We start from the raw sequence: 24,663 nt of genomic DNA on the forward strand, positions 1-24,663 counted from the left end.
AAAGTTAGAAGATTTAATTCAGCAAACATTTATGGATCATCTACTTTGTACTGTGATCTACATTACCTTTAGGATCACTTGCCGTCAGCAATGTTGTGATTTGGGGATCATTATAAGAGAGAGTTCATATAGAAGGCTGAAAATTGTGAGTAATAATCATACGGTGTAGTCTTCTGGATTAAAACAATGATTTATTTCTCATGGAGAGTGAGACAGAAACAGCCCTGGCCATATCTCTATGGTTTAATTCATTCTGGAAACAAATAAATGAGACATGCATATAGAGGGGAATCTGTGAAATCATTGCTGGGAAATGAAATTTACAACAAAGGCAAGATAAGAGTTGCATTTTAGAAACATTGATAAGTGAATGTCAAATCATACATGAGACAGTTTTGTTACTTTGGCAACATAGACATTATTCTTTATTTCTGATAAGCAGTGTTACTTTAATTCCCACCTGTGGCTTTTGTCTCTGTGTCTCCAAGGGACATTAATGCTTAAATGAAAACTAATCAACATTTTAAACTGTAATATACACATTGATTTAGGGGAAATATGTTTCTTTAATATTGTTCTCAATGCATTGTAGAAAATTATCCAGGTGATTCCTTTACTTACATTTCTTTAAAGGGTAACCTTTTGAATTAAATAAAAAAATTTAGTTATATTTTCTCTTTTCAAACGGTTGAAATGGATGAAATATAAGCTTGATACTATGAACAGAAGTTTTGCAACAGAATTATTTATTTTGCTATTTTATAAGATGAGTTTAAAAACCAGGTAGGGGGACAAGAACGTGATTTTTGGAAAAAATAACAGCTTTATCATGTTATAATTTACACACAATAAAGCTCACCATCTTGAATATACAGTACTGTGGTTTTAATATATTAATAAAGTTGTGCTTTGATCACCACTCTCGATTTCTTGAACATTTTAGTATCACTCCCAAAGAAACCCTGTATCCACTAGTGGTCACTCCGTATTGCCCTGGTTCCCTATCCCTTGGCAACTACTAATCTACCTTCTGTCTCTATAGATTTGTATATTTCTTTACTTAGTGTAGTATGTTCAAGGGTCATCTACACTGTAGCACATGGAAGAATGCCATTCCTTTTTATTGCCTAATAATTTTCTATTGTGTGAACATGCCACTTTTTGTTTATCTGTTCATCATTTGATAGACATTTGAGTTGTTTCTGCTCTTTGCATATTATGACTAATGCTGTTATGAACATTTGCTTATATGTTTTTATGTGAGGGACATATGTCTTCATTTTTAGTGAGTGAATACCTAGGAGTGGATCGTACGGTAGTTCCATATTTGACTGTTTGAGAAACATCCAGATTGTTTCCTGAAGCATCTGTGGCATTTTTCAGTGCTACTAGCAATGCATGAGGGTTCCAGTTCTCCACATCCTCAACAATACTTGCTATTTGTCCCTTTGATTATAGTCATCGCAGTGGTCGTAAAGTGGTATCTCATTGTGGTTTTGGTTTGTATTTTCCTGATGGCTGACAATTTTGAGCATTAGCTCTTTGTAGGAGCTGATTGTTTGTATATCTCTTTTGAAATGTCTATTCAGATTTCTTATTCATTTTTAAATGAGGTGATTCATCTTTTTATTTGTGTATTGTAAGGAGTATTTATATATTTGGAATATGGGCCCTTTAGTCAATATATAATTTGCAAATATGTTCTCTCATTCTGTGTATTGTCTTTTCACTTTCTTGATGCTGTCCTTTGATGCACAAAATTTTTCAAATTTTGTTGTTGTTGATTTATCTTTTTTCATTTGTCACTTGTTTCTTTGGTGTTATAGCTAAGAATCCAAGATTATGGATCTTTACTCTTGTTTTCTTATATGAGTGTTTATAGTTTTAGCTCTTACATTTAGGTCTCAGATCCTGTAGCCTTATTTTTTTGGTGATAATTTTTGTATATTTTGTGAAGTAGGGATCCAGCTTCATTTTTTTTTTGTACGTAGATACTCAGTTGTGGCAGAATCATTTGTTGAATACACTGTAATTTCCTCCATTGAATGGCCATGGCACCCTTAGCCATACGGACAAGGATTTATTTCTGGACTCTCAATTCTATTATTGTCTGTTTATGCTCATGCTAGTAGTACAGTGCCTTGGTTACTACCATTTTGTATTAAGACTTGAAATTGAGGAGTGAGTCCTGCAAATTTGTTCTTTTACAAGATCATTTTTACTATTTGCGTTCCCTTGCATTTCCAAACCAATGTTATAATGAGCTTGTCAATTTTTTTAAAGGGTGGCTGAGATTTTGACAGAAATTGTATTCAATCTTTGGATCAATTTTGGAGTGTTGCCACCTTAACACTATTTAGTCTTGTGATCCATGATCATGAGATGTCTTTACACTTATTTAGGTCTTTAATTTAGTTCAATAATATTTTGTAAATTTCAGCGTACGCCTCTTACACTTCTTTCGTTACATTTATTCCTAGGTACTTTATTCCTAATTTCATTTTCAGGTTCCTCTTTGTTAGTGTGTAGAAACACAAGTGCTTTTCTTCTGTTAATTTCAGAATTAACAGCCTTGCTAAACTCATTTATTAATTATATAATTAACAAATTTTAAGGATTTTCTATATACAAGATTATACATCTCTGAATATTGTATCTTTATTTCTTCCTTTCCAAACTGGATGCTTTTTAATTTCTTTTCCTTGCTTAATTGCCCTTCTGAGGGTCTAATTAAAAACAAGAATTAATTCACCAAAGATAAAATGCCAACTAATTCGTTGTTTCTCCTATATTTTACTACAGTTAATTTGAGAATCTGTTCATAGAGGATCCTAAAATATAGCACAATGCAGTTTATATTAATCAAATCAAAAGTAACCTATCATGAAGAAATAAAGTTAAATTTAGAGGTATATTAGTTGCATTCTACTTGATTCATAGGCCTAAGTTAATGGGTAAGAAATCTCTTGCTCAGGAATAGAAGGCAAAACCACAGAAAATAAAAGAAAAGAAACAAAAGCACCAGGTGGCATGGAATGTTTAAAATATACTGGGATTCATATATTTTGTATTTTCCTTTTTGTTACAGGAAATTATAGACCCCAAATTGAGATGTATGAAACAAAGAGTTGTGTAGCAAGTACGTTTGTAATAATCAAATAGTATTTATTTTCATTTTACGCAATTTACCATATGGAGGTTTTCTAAATCTATTTAAGATGTCTTTGTTACGTGCATTTTTGAAACGTGCTTTGTGGTCTGTAAGTCTGCTTGCATTTTAGAGTACAAGAGTGCATAGCTGGTTTTCCTTAGGAGACCGTAAATGTGACCAAGAGCCTAAGGACTTGGCTCAGTGTTACCCATGACAGACAGGCACTCATCCTGATAGCCAGGTGGAGATTTTCTGACTTTGATCACTTCGTACATGCATGTTACAATACTGGCAATTGTTTTATTAAATATTTCTTTAATGCATAATCTTCATTTTCATTTTAGCAAGGGCATGGAGACATACGTAGTTTGATTTCTCATAATTAAATCCTGGAGTCCCACCTTTCACTGATGTATCATTTTATTAGAAATTGGACAAAAAACTTTAGGTTCTCAATTAAACCAATATATTGAAATCACTGTGCTTTTTTAGTTAACTGATATGATTACTATTGTGAAACTTATCAGTCAATAATCATGTAGCAGAGATGCTTTTAACTAGATAAGTACTTACTGGTTTGATATACTTTGTGTTGTAAAAAGTAATAAATCATTAGTTATTATATAGAAATTAGAATGTTAATTTTCTAGTTTTTACCAATATCTGATTATTTCTATCCATTCAGTCATCTATTCAATTATATCTAAGATACTTTTAATAATAAACTTCCAATCGATTTGCAGGCTTTATGCTATCCTGCAATAATTCTAACTTAAATTATTATATTTTAAAATTGACTTGCTATTTCCAAATGTGATAGCATATATGTTTGTAGTGTAATTTAGTAATAAAAAGAGCCCTAAAATAATGTTTAGTCATATGTGGTTTTATGTTTTAATTAATCATTCGGCAATAAGAATGCGGCTCATGGTAGAAACAGTGTTTCTAAATGGTGGCTGCATTGTGCTATTAGCCCACAGAGTGTTGTTTCAATTGTCAGTGTGACTAAAATTATATTAGATCACATTTCTCCCTAACACAGCTAATGCTGGAATAACTTATTTGGAAATTAGCTACATATTGTGTGCCCTGTATTTGAATGTCACAAGACTTATTTGTGTAGAAAACAGAACACTCACCAAGGTGTATTCTTTACAGTGGGTTTTGAATCATTTAACTATTTTCCTTGTTTAGACTCTTAGAGCAAATTGGTTTTAACTTAATCCTGGGAAAAGATGCACTTTTGTACAAAAAAAGTATTAAAATTTTGTAAATATTTCAGAAAATGTGGTGCTTATGGATCCAGGGTGTGTTATCTCCTTCAGCATCTGCCATAGCAACAGTTTTTTTGGGTTATTCTCTCACTACTTGATGTAAAATGTAGTTCATTCTTTACATTATCATCCTTGTTTTAATAACAGATATCATTTTCTGTAGGATATTTTTATCACTTTAGGAAGTGAAACTGTTTTTAGTTCTCCAAGAATCTATAATTAATTGTTGTGAAACAGATACCCTAGTTAAATCAGGTATGTCAGTATACCTTATGCAAATTGTCTCACTGGTATTTGTTTGTAATCTCACAGAAATCAATTTGACAAAAGGCTGTATATTCTGAAAGATTTTTGTCTCTAATCCCGAGTATGCTGTGAACCTCTTTTGGGAATATTATAATTTTCTGCTTAGAATAATATATCCTTAAGTTTTTCCATGTTAAGATAATACTTCCTTGCATATTATCATAACCATTTTCTCTTTTTTGCAGGTTTTATATTACTAGTTATACTTTTTTGAATTACCATTTTATTTAAAATACATTTGAATCTTTGCCTTTGAAAACAATGTCAAACTTGAAATATTGCTTAATTTCTTGTAGTCTATTAAATTGAATGTATGTATATAATAAATTAAATGATAATGAAATACAGATAATTATAGCTTAGTAACTCAAAAATTCTTTGAATTTGTCAATTCTGTGTTAGCGATGACTATTGCTATGACAGAAATTTTAGGGAAATGTACTTTCATTTTAAAGCACTCATCAATATTTAAGAAACATTAATTGTGCATTACTTTCAAAGATCTAATGAATTTGTAGAGTTATTCTTCAATAAATAAATACATTAAAATATACATACAGCATATGTAATAAACACAAATTTTCTTATAGTTTCCAAGTCAGGAATTATTAAACAGCAGTATGGTAAAGGCAAAGAGGTATTTACAGCTTGATGTGATAACACAAAGAAGGGGCAGTTAGCCCCCCCTGGAGATGTTCTATCTGGAGAAGAACAACAGTAATGGAAGGCTTTTTAAAGGAATTAATTCTTGGACTAAGTTTTAAAATACGACTAAAATTAACCAAATAATGAATTTATGAGAAGGAAGAGAAGGACATTCTAGCACAAAGGGGAGTCCCACAGGTATGAAAGCACAGGTGGAAAAAAAGCTTATGTGGGACAGGCGGTGGCATCATAAGATTTTGTTCTAGCCAAAAGCATAATCCAGCCAAACTTGAGGTTCAGTAGACCCATTCTGATAGCTCATGTTAGATAGAGTTGGGAGGATCCCATTAGATCTGATGACCAGTCAGGAGTCGTAGTAAGGGACAGATTTCGGGCTCTTGAGAAGATGGAAAATATTACATGACCATTCATCTCAGATGCTGGACATAGTCTTGTTTATGCTATTTACTTCATTTTCATTATTAATAGCTCTCTGTACACTCCTTTAGTCCCCCAAAGTTTCTTGATTTCGTAGATAATTTATATAGTTACCTTGGACATGTTCCAAATTTGTTTATGAATAAGTTTAATTGAGTGTTGAGAAAGCAAAATGACCCTCAGATTCCTGGTACAATCCACCAGGTGGACAGTGATGCCACTAGTGAAAACAGGTGAGGCGGTTTGATGGGGTTCAGGCAGGAGGTGGGGTACAGTAATGGTTAGTTTATTCTTGTAGCTGTTGTACCTGTCAGGTTTGAGATTTTTGCAGTTCTTCATATATATTTGTCCAGGTAATGATGGGGTATATGATTCTGAAGCTCAGGGAAGAGATCTGGAATGGAATTCAGACTTAAGACAGATTATTATATCAGCAAGATCATTATCTGTTATCTTTCTTGGATAAACTTGGAATTAAGAAGAGAAAATGACTAACTATGGAAACCTGGGAAATATGTACACTTTAGGGTAGGTGGAGGAAGAATAGGCATAAAAGGCGGAGAAAATAATAAGCCAAGCAAGAAAATTGTTGCATGAATGTGACCAAGAAAGAGAATTTCAAAAATAAAGATATCCCTCAGTGTAGTAGAGACAAGTGGTAAGAAAATAATCTAAAGTAATCTGTGGGATGTGTCAATAATGTGGTGTTGGTGGCTCAACAGGAATCATTTCAGTTGGGTAGAACTGAACTCAGGAGAGGATGGGAGGTGAGCAAATGTCACAGTGAAGGTAGATTATATTCTGAGGAATTATACATGACAAGGAAGAGACATATGTAGCTCCAAATGTTCATGGCCTGCAGTGGTCAAGGAAGATTTTATTTTTAAGAAACATAAATATTTTTATAGATGCACAATTCCCAAACTGTGTTTTTGGAATACTGTTAACAGGTGATACATGAAGAATTTATTTTCTAACCAATGAAGTCACAAAAACTCTGGATTTAATAAAGTAAAAGAGATTTCTGAACATCCATTAGTTTCTCAGCAGCCATTGATGTGCTAATAAACATTGTTTATATCCAAAATAGGAAAAACAATATGCAGTGATTTCTAAATATTTTGGCAACTGACTGCTCTTTTCCAAAACAAATCTATTAACTCCATAGTGTAAGAGACCATCTTGGCCGGGCACGGTGGCTCACACCTGTAATCCCAGCACTTTGGGAGGCCAAGGCAGGTGGATCACGAGGTCAGGAGATCGAGACCATCCTGGCCAACATGGTGAAAACCCATCTCTACTAAAAATACAAAAATTAGCTGGGTGTGGTGGCATGCGCCTGTAATCCCAGCTATTTGGGAGCCTGAGGCAGGAGAATAGCTTGAACCAGGGAGTTGGAGGTTGCAGTAAGCTGAGATCGTGCCACCATACTCCAGCCTGGCGACAGAGCGAGACTCCATCTCAAAAAAAAAAAAAACAAAAAAACCCCAAAAAACACAAAAAAACAAAAAAACAAAGAGACCATCTCAAAGTCAAGCATAAACTGGTGTGATGAAAATAATATACACACACTTACAGCAGGGCTGATACCTCGCAGTTTGCTCACTCCCTTATTCATTGTTTGTGGCCAGAGGCCATTCTAACTAGTGTTAAATATCTTGACTGTCATTTTCATAACATCACAGTCCAAATATGAGTATTGAAGGAGATCATTATTGCAAGATTCTTTTAAATTTTTAAATTTTTTTTTAACTTTTATTTTAAGTTCAGGGATATATGTCCAGGTTTGCTACATAGGTAAACGTATGTCATAGGATTGTGTTGTACAGACTGTTTTCATTACCCAGGTACTAAGCCTAGTTATTTTTCCTAATCTTCTCCCTTCTCCCATCCTCTACCCTCAGACAGGCCCCAATGTGTATTTTCTCCTCTGTGTGTTCATTAACATAGCGCCTGCTAGTAAACGTGTGTTATTAATAATTTCTTAATATTATTGCTGTTATTATCTGAAGGAATACCTTTAAGAAACCCTTGGGTAACATGAGTGTAGAACTATATTTGGAGGAGGAACGAGGGGGTAAGGAAGACACAGAAAGTTGAAAAAGAACAGTTTTGGATTGAGGGTTGATCATGTATCTTCCCTGTCCATACCCCTTGTTGCTTTTACTTGACCACATCATTTGTATTGGAACACTGTGCTGTTCAGGAAAGAAGTAGGATGACATTTAAAAACATGATATTTTTCTTTCTTCATTTTGTAGAAGCAGTAACGTGAAATCCGCATGTTCTAGGGGAAATAATAGTAGTCACTTAAGCTTATCAAAACCAAATTAAAATTAAAATTGTTTTGAATCTGTTTTATTTACTGAAAATTTTAGAGACAAAGTACTATCATCTATCTTCTCTACCTCATCATACTGCCAAGGCATTTACAAGTTAAACAATAAAAATAAACAAAATCTATAACATATATATTATTTATTTACATATACACACTTTTTTATTATACTTTAAGTTCTAGGGTACATGTGCACAACGTGCAGGTTTGTTACATATGTATACATGTGCCAAGTTGGTGTGCTGCACCCACTAACTCGTCATTTACATTAGGTATATCGCCTAATGCTATCCCTCCCCCCTCCTTTCACCCCACAACAGGCCCCGGTGTGTGATGTTCCCCTTCCTGTGTCCAAGTGTTCTCATTGTTCAAATCCCAACTATTAGTGAGAACATGTGGTGTTTGGTTTTTTGTCCTTGCGATAGTTTGCTCATAATGATGGTTTCCAGCTTCATCCATGTCCCTACAAAGGATGTGAACTCATCCTTCTTTATGGCTGCATAGTATTCCATGGTGTACATGTGCCACATTTTCTTAATCTAGTCTATCATTGATGGACATTTGGGTTGGATCCAAGTCTTTGCTATTGTGAATAGTGCTGCAATAAACATACGTGTGCATGTGTCTTTATAGCAGCATGATTTATAATCCTTTGGCTATATACCCAGTAATGGGATGGCTAGGTCAAATGGTATTTCTAGTTTTAGATCCTTGAGGAGTCGCCACACTGTCTTCCACAATGGTTGAACTAGTTTACACTCCCACCAACAGTGTAAGAGTGTTCCTATTTCTCCACATCCTCTCCAGCACCTGTTGTTTCCTGACTTTTTAATGATCGCCATTCTAACTGGTGTGAGATGGTATCTCAGTGTGGTTTTGATTTGCATTTCTCTGATGGCCAGTGATGATGAGCATTTTTTCATGTATTTTTTGGCTGCATAAATATCTTCTTTTGAGAAGTATCTGTTCATATACTTTGCCCACTTTTTGATGGGGTTGTTTGTTTTTTTCTTGTACGTGTGTTTGAATTCTTTGTAGATTCTGGATATTAGACCTTTGTCAGATGAGTAGATTGCAAAAATTTTCTCCCATTCTATAGGTTGCCTGTTCCCGCTGATGGTAGTTTCTTTTGCTGTGCAGAAGCTCTTTAGTTTAATTAGATCCCATTTGTCAATTTTGGCTTTTGTTGCCATTGCTCTTGGTGTTTTAGTCATGAAGTCCTTGCCCATGCCTATGTCCTGAATTGTATTGCCTAGGTTTTCTTCTAGGGTTTTTATGGTTTTAGGTCTAACATTTAAGTCTTTAATCCATCTTGAATTAATTTTTGTATAAGGTGTAAGGAAAGGATCCAGTTTCAGCTTTCTACATATGGCTAGCCAGTTTTCCCAGTGACATTTACTAAATACGGAATCCTTTCCCTATTTCTTGCTTTTGTCAGGTTTGTCAAAGATCAGATGGTTGTAGATGTGTGGTATTATTTCTGAGGGCTCTGTTCTGTTCCACTGGTCTATATCTCTGTTTTGGTACCAGTACCATGCTGTTTTGGTTACTGTAGCCTTGTAGTATAGTTTAAAGACAGGTAGTGTGATGCCTCCAGCTTTGTTCTTTTGGCTTAGGATTGTCTTGGCAATGTGGGCTCTTTTTTGGTTTCATATGAACTTTAAAGTAGTTTTTTCCAATTCTGTGAAGAAAGTCATTGGTAGCTTGATGGGGATGGCATTGAATCTATAAATTACCTTGGGCAGTATGGCCATTTTCACAATATTGATTCTTCCTATCCATGAGCATGGAATGTTCTTCCATTTGTTTGTGTCCTCTTTTATTTTGTTGAGCAGTGGTTTGTAGTTCTCCTTGAAGAGGTCCTTCACGTCCCTTGTAAGTTGGATTCCTAGGTATTTTATTCTCTTTGAAGCAATTGTGAATGGGAGTTCACTCATGATTTGGCTCTCTGTCTGTTATTGGTGTATAAGAATGCTTGTGATTTTTGCACATTGATTTTGTATCCTGAGACTTTGCTGGAGTTGCTTATCAGCTTAAGGAGATTTTGGGCTGAGATGATGGGGTTTTCTAAATATACAATCATGTCATCTGCAAACAGGGACAATTTGACTTCCTCTTTTCCTAATTGAATACCCTTTATTTTTTTCTCCTGCCTGATGGCCCTGGCCAGAACTTCCAACACTATGTTGAATAGGAGTGGTGAGAGAGGGCATCCCTGTCTTGTGCCAGTTTTCAAAGGGAATGCTTCCAGTTTTTGCCCATTCAGTATGATATTGGCTGTGGGTGTGTCATAAATAGCTCTTATTATTTTGAGATATGTCCCATCAATACCTAATTTATTGAGAGTTTTTAGCACGAAGGGCTGTTGAATTTTGTCAAAGGCCTTTTCTGCCTCTATTGAGATAATCATGTGGTTTTTGTCTTTGGTTCTGTTTACCAAATTAAAATTAAATTGTTTTGAATCTGTTATATTTACTGAAAATTTTAGAGACAAAGTACTATAATCTGTCTTCTCAACCTTATCACACTGCCAAGGCTTTTACAAGTTAATAAAAATAAAATCTATAACATATATATGATGTACTTACATATACACACTATTTTTAATCCATGTTTTGAAGTTGGTCCACTATTATTATTTCTTTTTTTTTTTTTTTTTCAACTTGAGTGATTTTTTTTTCTTTTTTTTTTTTGAGTTTTTTTTTTTTTTATTATTATACTTTAAGTTTTAGGGTACATGTGCACGTTGTGCAGGTTAGTTACATATGTATACATGTGCCATGCTGGTGCGCTGCACCCACTAACTCGTCATCTAGCATTAGGTATATCTCCCAGTGCTATCCCTCCCCCCTCCCCCCACCCCACCACAGTCCCCAGAGTGTGATATTCCCCTTCCTGTGTCCATGTGATCTGATTGTTCAATTCCCACCCATGAGTGAGAATATGCGGTGTTTGGTTTTTTGTTCTTGCGATAGTTTACTGAGAATGATGGTTTCCAATTTCATCCATGTCCCTACAAAGGACATGAACTCATCATTTTTTATGGCTGCATAGTATTCCATGGTGTATATGTGCCACATTTTCTTAATCCAGTCTATCATTGTTGGACATTTGGGTTGGTTCCAAGTCTTTGCTATTGTGAATAATGCCGCAATAAACATATGTGTGCATGTGTCTTTATAGCAGCATGATTTATAGTCCTTTGAGTATATACCCAGTAATGGGATGGCTGGGTCAAATGGTATTTCTAGTTCTAGATCCCTGAGGAATCGCCACACTGACTTCCACAATGGTTGAACTAGTTTACAGTCCCACCAACAGTGTAAAAGTGTTCCTATTTCTCCACATCCTCTCCAGCACCTGTTGTTTCCTGACATTTTAATGATTGCCATTCTAACTGGTGTGAGATGGTATCTCATTGTGGTTTTGATTTGCATTTCTCTGATGGCCAGTGATGGTGAGCATTTTTTCATGTATTTTTTGGCTGCATAAATGTCTTCTTTTGAGAAGTGTCTGTTCATGTCCTTCGCCCACTTTTTGATGGGGTTGTTTGTTTTTTTCTTGTAAATTTGTTTGAGTTCATTGTAGATTCTGGATATTAGCCCTTTGTCAGATGAGTAGGTTGCGAAAATTTTCTCCCATGTTGTAGGTTGCCTGTTCACTCTGATGGTAGTTTCTTTTGCTGTGCAGAAGCTCTTTAGTTTAATTAGATCCCATTTGTCAATTTTGGCTTTTGTTGCCATTGCTTTTGGTGTTTTGGACATGAAGTCCTTGCCCACGCCTGTGTCCTGAATGGTAATGCCTAGGTTTTCTTCTAGGGTTTTTATGGTTTTAGGTCTAATGTTTAAGTCTTTAATCCATCTTGAATTGATTTTTGTATAAGGTGTAAGGAAGGGATCCAGTTTCAGCTTTCTACATATGTCTAGCCAGTTTTCCCAGCACCATTTATTAAATAGGGAATCCTTTCCCCATTGCTTATTTTTCTGAGGTTTGTCAAAGATCAGATAGTTGTAGGTATGCGGCGTTATTTCTGAGGGCTCTGTTCTGCTCCATTGATCTTTATCTCTGTTTTGGTACCAGTACCATGCTGTTTTGGTTACTGTAGCCTTGTAGTATAGTTTGAAGTCAGGTAGTGTGATGCCTCCAGCTTTGTTCTTTTGGCTTAGGATTGACTTGGCGATGCGGTCTCTTTTTTGGTTCCATATGAACTTTAAAGTAGTTTTTTCCAATTCTGTGAAGAAAGTCATTGGTAGCTTGATGGGGATGGCATTGAATCTGTAAATTACCTTGGGCAGTATGGCCATTTTCACCATATTGATTCTTCCTACCCATGAGCATGGAATGTTCTTCCATTTGTTTGTATCCTCTTTTATTTCCTTGAGCAGTGGTTTGTAGTTCTCCTTGAAGAGGTCCTTCACATCCCTTGTAAGTTGGATTCCTAGGTATTTAATTCTCTTTGAAGCAATTGTGAATGGGAGTTCACTCATGATTTGGCTCTCTGTTTGTCTGTTGTTGGTGTATAAGAATGCTTGTGATTTTTCTACATTGATTTTGTATCCTGAGACTTTGCTGAAGTTGCTTATCAGCTTAAGGAGATTTTGGGCTGAGACGATGGGGTTTTCTGGATAAACAATCATGTCGTCTGCAAACAGGGACAATTTGACTTCCTCTTTTCCCTATTGAATACCCTTTATTTCCTTCTCCTGCCTGATTGCCCCGGCCAGAACTTCCAACACTATGTTGAATAGGAGTGGTGAGAGAGGGCATCCCTGTCTTGTGCCAGTTTTCAAAGGGAATGCTTCTAGTTTTTGCCCATTCGGTATGATATTGGCTGTGGGTTTGTCATAGATAGCTCTTATTATTTTGAAATACGTCCCATCAAGACCTAATTTACTGAGAGTTTTTAGCATGAAGGGTTGTTGAATTTTGTCAAAGGCTTTTTCTGCATCTATTGAGATAATCATGTGGTTTTTGTCTTTGGCTCTGTTTATATGCTGGATTACATTTATTGATTGGCATATATTGAACCAGCCTTGCATCCCAGGGATGAAGCCCACTTGATCATGGTGGATAAGCTTTTTGATGTGCTGCTGGATTCGGTTTGCCAGTATTTTATTGAGGATTTTTGCATCAATGTTCATCAAGGATATTGGTCTAAAATTCTCTTTTTTGGTTGTGTCTCTGCCTGGCTTTGGTATCAGAATGATGCTGGCCTCATAAAATGAGTTAGGGAGGATTCCCTCTTTTTCTATTGATTGGAATAGTTTCAGAAGGAATGGTACCAGTTCCTCCTTGTACCTCTGGTAGAATTTGGCTGTGAATCCATCTGGTCCTGGACTCTTTTTGGTTGGTAAACTATTGATTATTGCCACAATTTCAGCTCCTGTTATTGGTCTATTCAGAGATTCAACTTCTTCCTGGTTTAGTCTTGGGAGAGTTTATGTGTCGAGGAATGTATCCATTTCTTCTAGATTTTCTAGTTTATTTGCGTAGAGGTGTTTGTAGTATTCTCTGATGGTAGTTTGTATTTCTGTGGGATCGGTGGTGATATCCCCTTTATCATTTTTTATTGTGTCTATTTGATTCTTCTCTCTTTTTTTCTTTATTAGTCTTGCTAGCGGTCTATCAATTTTGTTGATCCTTTCAAAAAACCAGCTCCTGGATTCCTTGATTTTTTGATGGGTTTTTTGTGTCTCTATTTCCTTCAGTTCTGCTCTGATCTTGGTTATTTCTTGCCTTCTGCTAGCTTTTGAATTTGTTTGCTCTTGCTCTTCTAGTTCTTTTAATTGTGATGTTAGGGTGTCAATTTTGGATCTTTCCTGCTTTCTCTTGTGGGCATTTAGTGCTATAAATTTCCCTCTACACACTGCATTGAATGCGTCCCAGAGATTCTGGTATGTTGTGTCTTTGTTCTCGTTGGTTTCAAAGAACATCTTTATTTCTGCCTTCATTTCGTTATGTACCCAGTAGTCATTCAGGAGCAGGTTGTTCAGTTTCCATGTAGTTGAGCGGCTTTGAGTGAGATTCTTAATCCTGAGCTCTAGTTTGATTGCACTGTGGTCTGAGAGATAGTTTGTTATAATTTCTGTTCTTTTACATTTGCTGAGGAGTGCTTTACTTCCAACTCTGTGGTCAATTTTGGAATAGGTGTGGTGTGATGCTGAAAAAAATGTATATTCTGTTGATTTGTGGTGGAGAGTTCTGTAGATGTCTATTAGGTCCGCTTGGTGCAGCGCTGAGTTCAATTCCTGGGTATCCTTGTTGACTTTCTGTCTCGTTGATCTGTCTAATGTTGACAGTGGGGTGTTAAAGTCTCCCATTATTAATGTGTGGGAGTCTAAGTCTCTTTGTAGGTCACTCAGGACTTGCTTTATGAATCTGGGTGCTCCTGTATTGGGTGCATATATATTTAGGATAGTTAGCTCCTCTTGTTGAATTGATCCCTTTACCATTATGTAATGGCCTTCTTTGTCTCTTTTGATCTTTGTTGGTTTAAAGTCTGTTTTATCAGAGACTAGGATTGCAACCCCTGCCTTTTTTTGTTTTCCATTTGCTTGGTAGATCTTCCTCCATCCTTTTATTTTGAGCCTATGTGTGTCTCTGCACGTGAGATGGGTTTCCTGAATACAGCACACTGATGGGTCTTGACTTTTTATCCAGCTTGCCAGTCTGTGTCTTTTAATTGGAGAATTTAGTCCATTTACATTTAAAGTTAATATTGTTATGTGGGAATTTGATCCTGTCATTATGATGTTAGCTGGTGATTTTACTCGTTAGTTGATGCAGTTTCTTCCTAGTCTCAATGGTCTTTACATTTTGGCATGATTTTGCAGCGGCTGGTACCGGTTGTTCCTTTCCATGTTTAGCACTTCCTTCAGGAGCTCTTTCAGGGCAGGCCTGGTGGTGACAAAATCTCTCAGCATTTGCTTGTGTGTAAAGTATTTTATTTCTCCTTCACTTATGAAGCTTAGTTTGGCTGGATATGAAATTCTGGGTTGAAAATTCTTTTCTTTAAGAATGTTGAATATTGGCCCCCACTCTCTTCTGGCTTGTAGGGTTTCTGCCGAGAGATCCGCTGTTGGTCTGATGGGCTTCCCTTTGAGGGTAACCCGACCTTTCTCTCTGGCTGCCCTTAACATTTTTTCCTTCATTTCAACTTTGGTGAATCTGACAATTATGTGTCTTGGAGTTGCTCTTCTTGAGGAGTATCTTTGTGGCGTTCTCTGTATTTCCTGAATCTGAACGTTGGCCTGCCTTGCTAGATTGGGGAAGTTCTCCTGGATAATATCCTGCAGAGTGTTTTCCAACTTGGTTCCATTCTCCGCATCACTTTCAGGTACACCAATCAGACGTAGATTTGGTCTTTTCACATAGTCGCATATTTCTTGGAGGCTTTGCTCATTTCTTTTTATTCTTTTTTCTCTAAACTTCCCTTCTCACTTCATTTCATTCATTTCATCTTCCATTGTTGATACCCTTTCCTCCAGTTGATCGCATCAGCTCCTGAGGCTTCTGCATTCTTCACGTAGTTCTCGAGCCTTGGTTTTCAGCTCCATCAGCTCCTTTAAGCACTTCTCTGTATTGGTTATTCTAGTTATACATTCTTCTAAATTTTTTTCAAAGTTTTCAACTTCTTTGCCTTTGGTTTGAATGTCCTCCCATAGCTCAGAGTAATTTGATCGTCTGAAGCCTTCTTCTCTCAGCTCGTCAAAATCATTCTCCATCCAGCTTTGTTCCGTTGCTGGTGAGGAACTGCGTTCCTTTGGAGGAGGAGAGGTGCTCTGCTTTTTAGAGTTTCCAGTTTTTCTGTTCTGTTTTTTCCCCATCTTTGTGGTTTTATCTACTTTTGGTCTTTGATGATGGTGATGTACAGATGGGTTTTCGGTGTGGATGTCCTTTCTGTTTGTTAGTATTCCTTCTAACAGACAGGACCCTCAGCTGCAGGTCTGTTGGAATACCCTGCCGTGTGAGGTGTCAGTGTGCCCCTGCTGGGGGGTGTCTCCCAGTTAGGCTGCTCGGGGGTCAGGGGTCAGGGACCCACTTGAGGAGGCAGTCTGCCCGTTCTCAGATCTCCAGCTGCGTGCTGGGAGAACCACTGCTCTCTTCAAAGCTGTCAGACAGGGACATTTAAGTCTGCAGAGGTTACTGCTGTCTTTTTGTTTGTCTGTGCCCTGCCCCCAGAGGTGGATCCTACAGAGGGAGGCAGGCCTCCTTGAGCTGTGGTGGGCTCCACCCAGTTGGAGCTTCCTGGCTGCTTTGTTTACCTAAGCAAGCCTGGGCAATGGTTGGCGCCCCTCCCCCAGCCTTGCTGCCTCCTTGCAGTTTGATCTCAGACTGCTGTGCTAGCAATCAGCGAGAGTCCGTGGGCGTAGGACCCTCCGAGCCAGGTGTGGGATATAGTCTCGTGGTGCGCCGTTTTTTAAGCTGGTCTGAAAAGCACAATATTCGGGTGGGAGTGACCCGATTTTTCAGGTGCGTCCCTCACCCCTTTCTTTGACTCGGAAAAGGAACTCCCTGACCCCTTGCGCTTCCCAAGTGAGGCAATGCCTCGCCCTGCTTCGGCTCGCGCACCCACTGGCCTGCGCCCACTGTCTGGCACTCCCTAGGGAGATGAACCCATTACCTCAGATGGAAATGCAGAAATCACCCGTCTTCTGCGTCGCTCATGCTGGGAGCTGTAGACCGGAGCTGTTCCTATTCGGCCATCTTGGCTCCTCCCACTATTATTATTTCTTAACAAAACTTAACTAGTGTTAATCAAAAATTTTAAAGCCTGGGGTTTACATTCAACACTGCTTTATAGAGACAGACAACATATTGCAGTGGAGGAGCATATAGACTTTGGAGCCAGATTGTCTGGCTCTGCCATTTACAAGCTCTGTGACCTTGGGCAACTTACTTAATCTCTCTGTGCTTCAGCTTCTTCATCTGTAAAAACTGTGGTAATTTAGAACCTATTCTATACAGTTATCATGATGATTTAATAAGTTAATATTTGTGAAGTGCTTTAAGATGTGCCTGACACAGAGGACTTATTTTATAAATAGTCTGTGTTAAACATAATATATACAAGATTGAGTCTGCTAGGATGAAAAATACAGATTTATAATTTTTTTTCCTTCCTGATCTAAACATTGCTAGGCAATTGGAGGATTATGAACACCAACCCAAGTTGCATTTCTTGTCAACCTGCTTTCGATGCGTTAATCCGAGGAAGGTTGCAATGGCTTGTGAGATGATGACACTGATGCCCTCGTGCTGCTGCAGCCTGACTCTCTATGGTTGATTCTGTCTGCATCACTTTAGGAGTAAAAGATTAAAACAACAAAAATCTAGATTTTTTTCCTCAGGTTTCATGAAAGCATAATGTTTTACTTTCACATTGGATCAGATAGTAGCCTAGGGCATCTACATTCACATTGTGTCCTGATTGCTCATGTGAAAGCTAAAGTAACACCACTTTCTTTATCATAAGGTGATGAGACTTGTCACCCCGCTTTATGAACAGCAAATTCTTAGCTCAGGGAGCAGCCAGGGGCAGGTCATAAAATAAAGGATTACAGAGCAAAGATATTAGTGAAAGAGAAGCATCAGCGCTTCTTACTGTATTTAACTCAAAGACGATGAGGTCTGCCTGGGGAGCTAATACCACTTAACTGTGTTTGGGCAAAAAGCCAAAAGGAAATTGTATTTCAAAGAGGGAAGGTCTGGCATTCCATATGCTGGGTAATCCCAGTCAGTTAACAGGGATGTATGGCCATTTATCACAGAAAATGAAGGCTAAAAAGAAACTTTTATGTGAAAGAACACAATGTTGATATAGTTTGAAGCTGAAGGACAATTGATAACGTATCAGGTCTTTAAATTATTCAAGTTAAAATAGTTGAGAAACAGAACTGGCATCTTTGTGGACCAAGTCTCACATAAACTTAGTTTGTACCCTGTATTAACTGAACCATAGAACCAGTAATGGTGATCATGACAAATAAATAAATCAAATGCATTCCAGAAGCCCCCTTAGAGTTCCAGAGAGCCAGGGCTGTCCTTGGGGAAATCTTGTAGTTCAAATCAACTTCTGCCTAAAGAAGGTGTATTGGAGGGTAAAATGCAGTTAAACCTATTGTCTCAGATGTGTTGGGGTAGACTGTGCTCAAATATTTCTAACTTTGTAGTACTGGTTAGAAAGAAGGATGTCATCTTCTATATGCTTTCTTGAGTCACTGAAGAGCTTAGACCAGTTGCCCCAGGTGGCCGTACTTTAAGGATAGCTTCAAGATATGGAATACCATAAGCTGGCTGCCATGTTTCCTCCTAATTTGCCAATTTGTTTCTCCTGTTCTTTCTGCTCCTGGTGAGTTCTTAGAAGCCACTAGACAACCTGTGCAGCTAATGATCAAATATTGTCCAGCTCTGGCCTTTGGATGTCTTTCCCAGCTTCTGGTCCTTTCCTGCTAGTCACTTGGGCTGCTTTTGTCCCTGCCATTAGAGCCCTCACTCAGTACATGCTTAAATACAACAGTCATGATACCCTTTTAATTGAGGGTGAACTGTCTGATTTCTTACATATACCTACAAACACCTGAGGATGGCATTTAAAACATCTTATTGTCTGACCTGGTTTGGCTGTGTCCCCACCCAAATCTCAACTTGAATTGTGTCTCCCAGAAATCCCATGTGTTGTGGGAGGAATTGAATCATGGAGGTTGGTCTTTCTTGTGCTACTCTCATGATAGTGAGTAAGTCTCATGAGATCTGATGGGTTTATCAGGGGTTTCTGCTTTTGCTTCTTCCTCATTTTTCCCCTTGCTGCTGCCATGTAAGAGGTACTTTTCATTTCCCGCCATGAATCTGAGGCCTCCCCAGCCACGTGGAACTGTAAGTTCAACTAAACCTCTTTTTGTTCCCAGTTTCGGTTATGTTGTTATCAGCAGCATTAAAATGAACTAATATATTGTCCCATTTGTAAATATATGTGTGCCATATTCTTTATGATATTACTTTATCTGTTTTTTAATTTCATTGCCATCCAGAGACTTTTTCTCAAAATCCTAGTTATTTAAATCTTCTCATAGTTCTCCCATGAATTGGATTATTTGTTAGCATAATAGAATGCAGGGTAGAGGATCTAAAGTGCCTATATAGAAAGCCTTGTGTTTTAATTTTATTTCTATGAATTCATTTGTGTATTCATTCAGCATTTATTTATTGATTCTGGAAATGTATTTGAGTAAGGAAACAAAAATTAACATAGTATATCCACAATCCTTAATTGTCACACACACACACACACACACACACACAGAAACACATACACACATGTTTTGAGGGCAAAGGCAGCCACAGTTTACAGTAAAGTCTACTTGTGAGCAAATTCAGCTGACTATCCATGTGGTTCTTATGGAATTATTAAGGATATGGATTATTGGTTTTAAGATTAAAAAAGAGTTTGTTTCCACATCTGCTTAGTTGTCAGAGATCCAAATTCACACTAAACTCAAGAGTTTCTGTTGTCATAAAAGGGAGTTTGTTAGGACAAGGCAAAGTCCTTAGAAGACATTTAGACACTTGAACATTCTGTCAAAGTCATCAGTCAGCTCCTGCTGCCACTGGGGTTTCCATTTTTCATATTGGCATTCACTTCATGAGAAAGAACTGCCATCCTCATCTCTAAGCGTGTCCTGGAACGGGACTGAGTTAGGGCACTTGTCCTCTCTGACTTCATATGCCAGTCATAGAATAGGCAATGGCATGGATTATACTGATTAATTCATGAGCTAGCTTCTCCTGCATGTGGGAGGAGTGAACACCTGAATGAAAATCTGGACAAAGTTAGGAAATAGAATAGGGAGGCGGATGCTGAGTGGACGACATGCTGATTTCTGGCACTTCCTTGCAAACTGCAACTAGGATCTAGCTCTTTCAAACCTCAGTAGAGAAATGAATATATCTCTCATTATTTATGATTCTTTCCTTAGATTTGTTGATGTTTGACTGTGACAGCCACGAGTTGCCTTTCTTGTGTTACAAAGTTAGATGTGACTTGACTGAGCTTTTAGTATAGTAAATTGTAACTGCTTTTAAATTTCAAGGTATGCCTTAGGATGAGTGTCTGTGGAGGCTTTTGCTTGTATCTTCCCAGCTTCATCTGTGAATGACAATCTTACACACTCTTCAAGGCTCACTTGGCCCGTTTCTGCCGTGGAAAGTCATCACTCTTCAGTGCTTACAGCACTTCCTGCTTGTCATTCCCTCTGTTTCTCAGTGCTGAATCCTTTTATTTTTTGGCATTCTTTGGCATACTTAAACCCACCACGAGCAGATAGGACAGATGCTGTAAGCAATTCCAGGTTGGCATTTGGTGTGAGCTACAGGGAGGGAAGGCATGGAAACAGGAAATCTTAAGTGCTGGCAGAAGAGTAACTGTGGGACTAACGGATTTATCTGATGATTCCTGTAATAACTTGGTAAGGAATAAGAAAGCAAAACACTTAGAATTTTGAAAAGAGAGTGTAGAGACCTGGATGATGTCAAGGTTGTGGCTAGTGAATAAATTTAGAGCTTCAGATCGTTGGAATAAAAGAGCATTTGAGGAACAGTTGGAGCCGGCAAGCTATGCCAGGGCCAGCTAGTAGGAGAACATTTTCATTTGTGCTTCTATGAAGCAGTGAAAAAACTCATTTCTATATGAAAGGCATCCAAACTGCAAAAAAAATAATTGCATATTACTTAATATCCCACGAACATATATCTATTTTACATCCTCAAAGCTCTTCTTCAACATTAACTCGTATGTTTTATTTGGAACCAAATCAATGCATGATAGAAATATTTTTTAAAGTTTTTAAACAGCTCTGTTTAAATATCAGTTTTCCATAACGAAAATCTTGTTCTTGCACCATGAGAGGGCTTCCATATAATCATTTTTTAAGGAGTGTAGAAAGTGTTATGCTTAAAAATAGACAATGAGCACTAAGAACATTAAGTTTGTAACAGCAATTCTAAGCTGTTTCTTCCAAAACTGTTGCCCAATCTCTCCCACAGGAAAGCCTTGTACAACATGTCACACTCAAGACATTAATCCATGTGGATGTGTTAGAAATTACACCTGAAAATGGCAATGACCTCAGTCTAGGTCTGTGATGCACTGTTGTGTTAACAAGAACTTTTTGTTACTTTATGCACATTTTCTGTACTATCTGAGAGATGCCAGTATCTTATCCACACACGAGAACTTTATTCTAAATATTTGTAAATTTTCCACCTGCAGTCAGTCAATTATTATAAATAAGATGAAAAACACTTGTACTGTTTCCTGTAACCAATACATTGTTTAATTAAGGAGGATTGCTAAGCCTGAAAACATAAAGATAGTTGGTAGTGGGTTTTGAAGTCATAGAGGACATTTTCTAAAATGCTTAAATCTCACACTTCTGGGTACCAATTTGATTCAGACTCCTCTAAAGAGAAATAGCACTCTGGGGGAATAATCAGCCCCAAGAACTATACCTATTAGAAAATCTCTCACCTTATATAAGGTAGAGAACCAGAAGTGGTGAGAAAACTTCCTTCTGTGAAGGAATCAGGGCTTGAGGTCCCATACGCTTATTTCTAGAACAGAAATTACTTTGCAAAATTTTCTATGAAATCTTCCCTAAATTTCAGACTGTCAAAGTTGACATAAAAATGAGTAATAGTTTTTTGTTTTGTTTTCTTTGTTTGTTTGAAATTTTGCACAACTTTATCCATTCAGAAATGTGGGTGTTGAACCACAAAACTGATAGAGTGCCTTCCAAATATTAACTGAAATATGTATTAGAAAAATTAAGAAGTGACAAAAAGAAGAGTTTACTGCATCTTCACATTTCATGTGAGACACTGAGTTCGTCTCCACATAAATGGAAGCAAAATAAGCTGAAACACAAACAAACCTGTGGTTTCAATTCGGCTTGTGGACCACCAGTTTGAAATATCTAAATTACTGCCTTGACTTCATATCTTTACAAATGTTTCATATAAACCAGAAATTACTTAACCATAGTAGTAGTCTTTTCACATAATTCTTTTTTACAGTTTTCAGATAACTAAAGCAACATTATATCCATGTTTAATAATTTGAAATGCTCACTTCTAGTAGAATGTAGAATAGTATATATTAAAGAGTGTTAACTTGAAGATCAGAGATTTTATGCTAGAATATATATTGGTCTTTTAAAATGTTTCTTCCTCAATCTAAAGTAATAGACCCAGGCACATTTAAAATCTTCAGGCTTTCTGTATATCTAGTTCATTAAGTAGCAATATGTTCAGTTGTGGGAAATTGTTACTTTTCAAGGTAACAATGTAGATCCCAAAAGCCCTGGTTAACAGTTCTTAAACATAAACACAAAACAGGACAAAAACAAAACAAACAAAAATAAATCAGTTCTCCAGAAAAAGAGAGTGAGAGGGAGGGGGAGAAAGAGAGTGAGAGCGAGAGAGCAAGAAAGAGAGAGAGAGAGAAATTTCACTAATGTAATGAATATGCCCCACATACTTTGTAAATAACAATATTTTAAATATAAATTCCATATAGCCAATGGACTCTTACAGAATGTGTTCTTCAATTTTTGCCAAACTCTTACATCTATACCCAACCTGTGGTTTTAATTGACTAACAAGTGTAGTTTGAATGTTGGTTGATGTTTTTGTTTACATTAATGAGAAAGACAAATGTGAAATTACCAAGATGTGTTGGAACTTCATTTGTTCATCAGTGATGTGAGTAACTGCTGAATTGGATAATAGTTTTGGAACACTGGAAGAATATTTCTTCAACATTTTTTATGCTATTCACAGTGTGACAGCTATAGAGATAGTATGTTATAACGTTTTTCTGTATTATTATCATGCTTTCTGCTTCTTAGTCTAGACAATCAGCAAAACAATAAACAAAGCCCTGATTTGTAATATTTGCCAATTTCCATGGGGTAAATGCTCCTACCACGGTTAGCTTCAAGTTAGCAATGTGATGTCACTGTATGTAGAATTAGGAAGGGCTGCGTGTAGCACATTATTATATAATATTTCTACCAGATACTATAGATGTAACTAACTTCAAAAGCATAGGTAATAATAAAATGTACTAAAATAATTATGAAAAAAGTTTAAAATTTTAAAAAAAGAAGAGTTTAAACATTTGCCAACTAATTTATTGTAGATAAGGTTGCACTTTGGCAAAACTGTGAAGTAGATAGAAAATATTTTTGTAATCCATTCATTGTTTTACCTCCCTTCCATACATCCTCACCATGGGCATACCATCCTGTATCATTTAGGACTACTAGTTATCAATTCATGTACATCATCTCATTTAATGTGCACCCATTTTATAACAGGAAAGTTGAGTCTCAGGGAAGCTTATTGCTACCAAGTTCTAAATTACAACTATGACAAATACTGCACATCTTTGTTGTCTCACACAAGTTTATTTCTTGCTCACACAAGTTATTTGTTGCTGTGGGTCTGGGTGAATCTTTAGGGCAGCAGTTAGCACAATTTTCTATAAAGGACCAGACAGTAAATATTTTAAGCATTGCTAGCCAAAGGGCAACATTGAGCAATAATCTCGCTGCAGGGATAGCAGTTATTTTCATATTTCACTTTTCAAAATGTAAACACCATTTTTAGCTGGTGGGCCACAGAAAACAGGCTGCAAGAGGGATTTTTCCTCTAGGTCAGTGTTTGCTGACTCCTGCTCTTAGATAGCAGTCCTCAACATGGACATTGGTGAATGGTGATAATGCCTGTTATTGCTGGATATTCCATTTGTGTGTATATCGGAATCTACTACTGGAAGCTGTAGCAATGGAATCTTATGTGGTGGGGGGACTAGATGAGAGAAAGCCATAGTAAGAATTCTAGGGCTTGAGTGGTACAGCATTGACGGAAGCTGTCATCTCTATCAGAAAGAGAAAAGTGAATGCTAATAACCTCAACTACTTTGTGTTAAGTATAATGTTTTAAAATAGAACCAGTTACAGAGAGGTTGTGACATTTTTGGTGGATGACATTGACATTTTCATATTTAGACAATATGAGATATAGTATATAATCACTTGTAATTTTTGAGAAATAAGATAAACCCTTTAGATTTAGCACCTTCCTTTCTAATACAACATTCTTCCGAGAAAAAAAGTTTGATATTTTGCCTTTTTGATTGTTTTTTGATTAAATGCTTAAGGAAAAATTACAAAAAGTGCATTTTACTTACTTTTCAAACTATAAAGAAAGAGTACAACATTAAGGTACTGGCGGGTTTTGAGTAGGAGAGAGAAAATGATCAATTCAACTGAAAAACATAACACCTTTGATTCGATAATCCTGTTAGATTAAAATTAAAGATGTGGAATGTGTTAAAAACAAAGACAGATGTTATTTTGATATATGGTTTAAAAGTTGATTTTCCCTTCAAAAGTTATTAGAATTAGCAAATAAGAATATAGGATGCCTGATTAAATATGAGTTCCAAATAT

At 36.8% G+C, this 24,663-nt stretch overlaps 1 protein-coding gene across 2 annotated transcripts in view, besides 1 other annotated feature; it reads left to right on the top strand.

The window, feature by feature from the left end:
• The window catches only part of GPC6 (glypican 6), a 1,191,492-nt gene that overhangs the window by 263,138 nt on the left and 903,691 nt on the right, over nucleotides 1–24,663 (top strand). The window lies entirely within an intron of this gene.
• Nucleotides 16,552–17,144: an enhancer, noted in NCBI's record as "OCT4-NANOG-H3K27ac-H3K4me1 hESC enhancer chr13:94148471-94149063 (GRCh37/hg19 assembly coordinates)". NCBI's record gives its function as "activates a minimal SCP1, AML or CMV promoter by ChIP-STARR-seq in naive H9 embryonic stem cells {active_cell/tissue: H9 hESC(naive)}" and the evidence as "EXISTENCE:reporter gene assay evidence [ECO:0000049][PMID:30033119]".

Source organism: Homo sapiens, chromosome 13, assembly GCF_000001405.40.
Source record: "Homo sapiens chromosome 13, GRCh38.p14 Primary Assembly".
NCBI classification, from domain to species: Eukaryota; Metazoa; Chordata; class Mammalia; order Primates; family Hominidae; genus Homo; species Homo sapiens.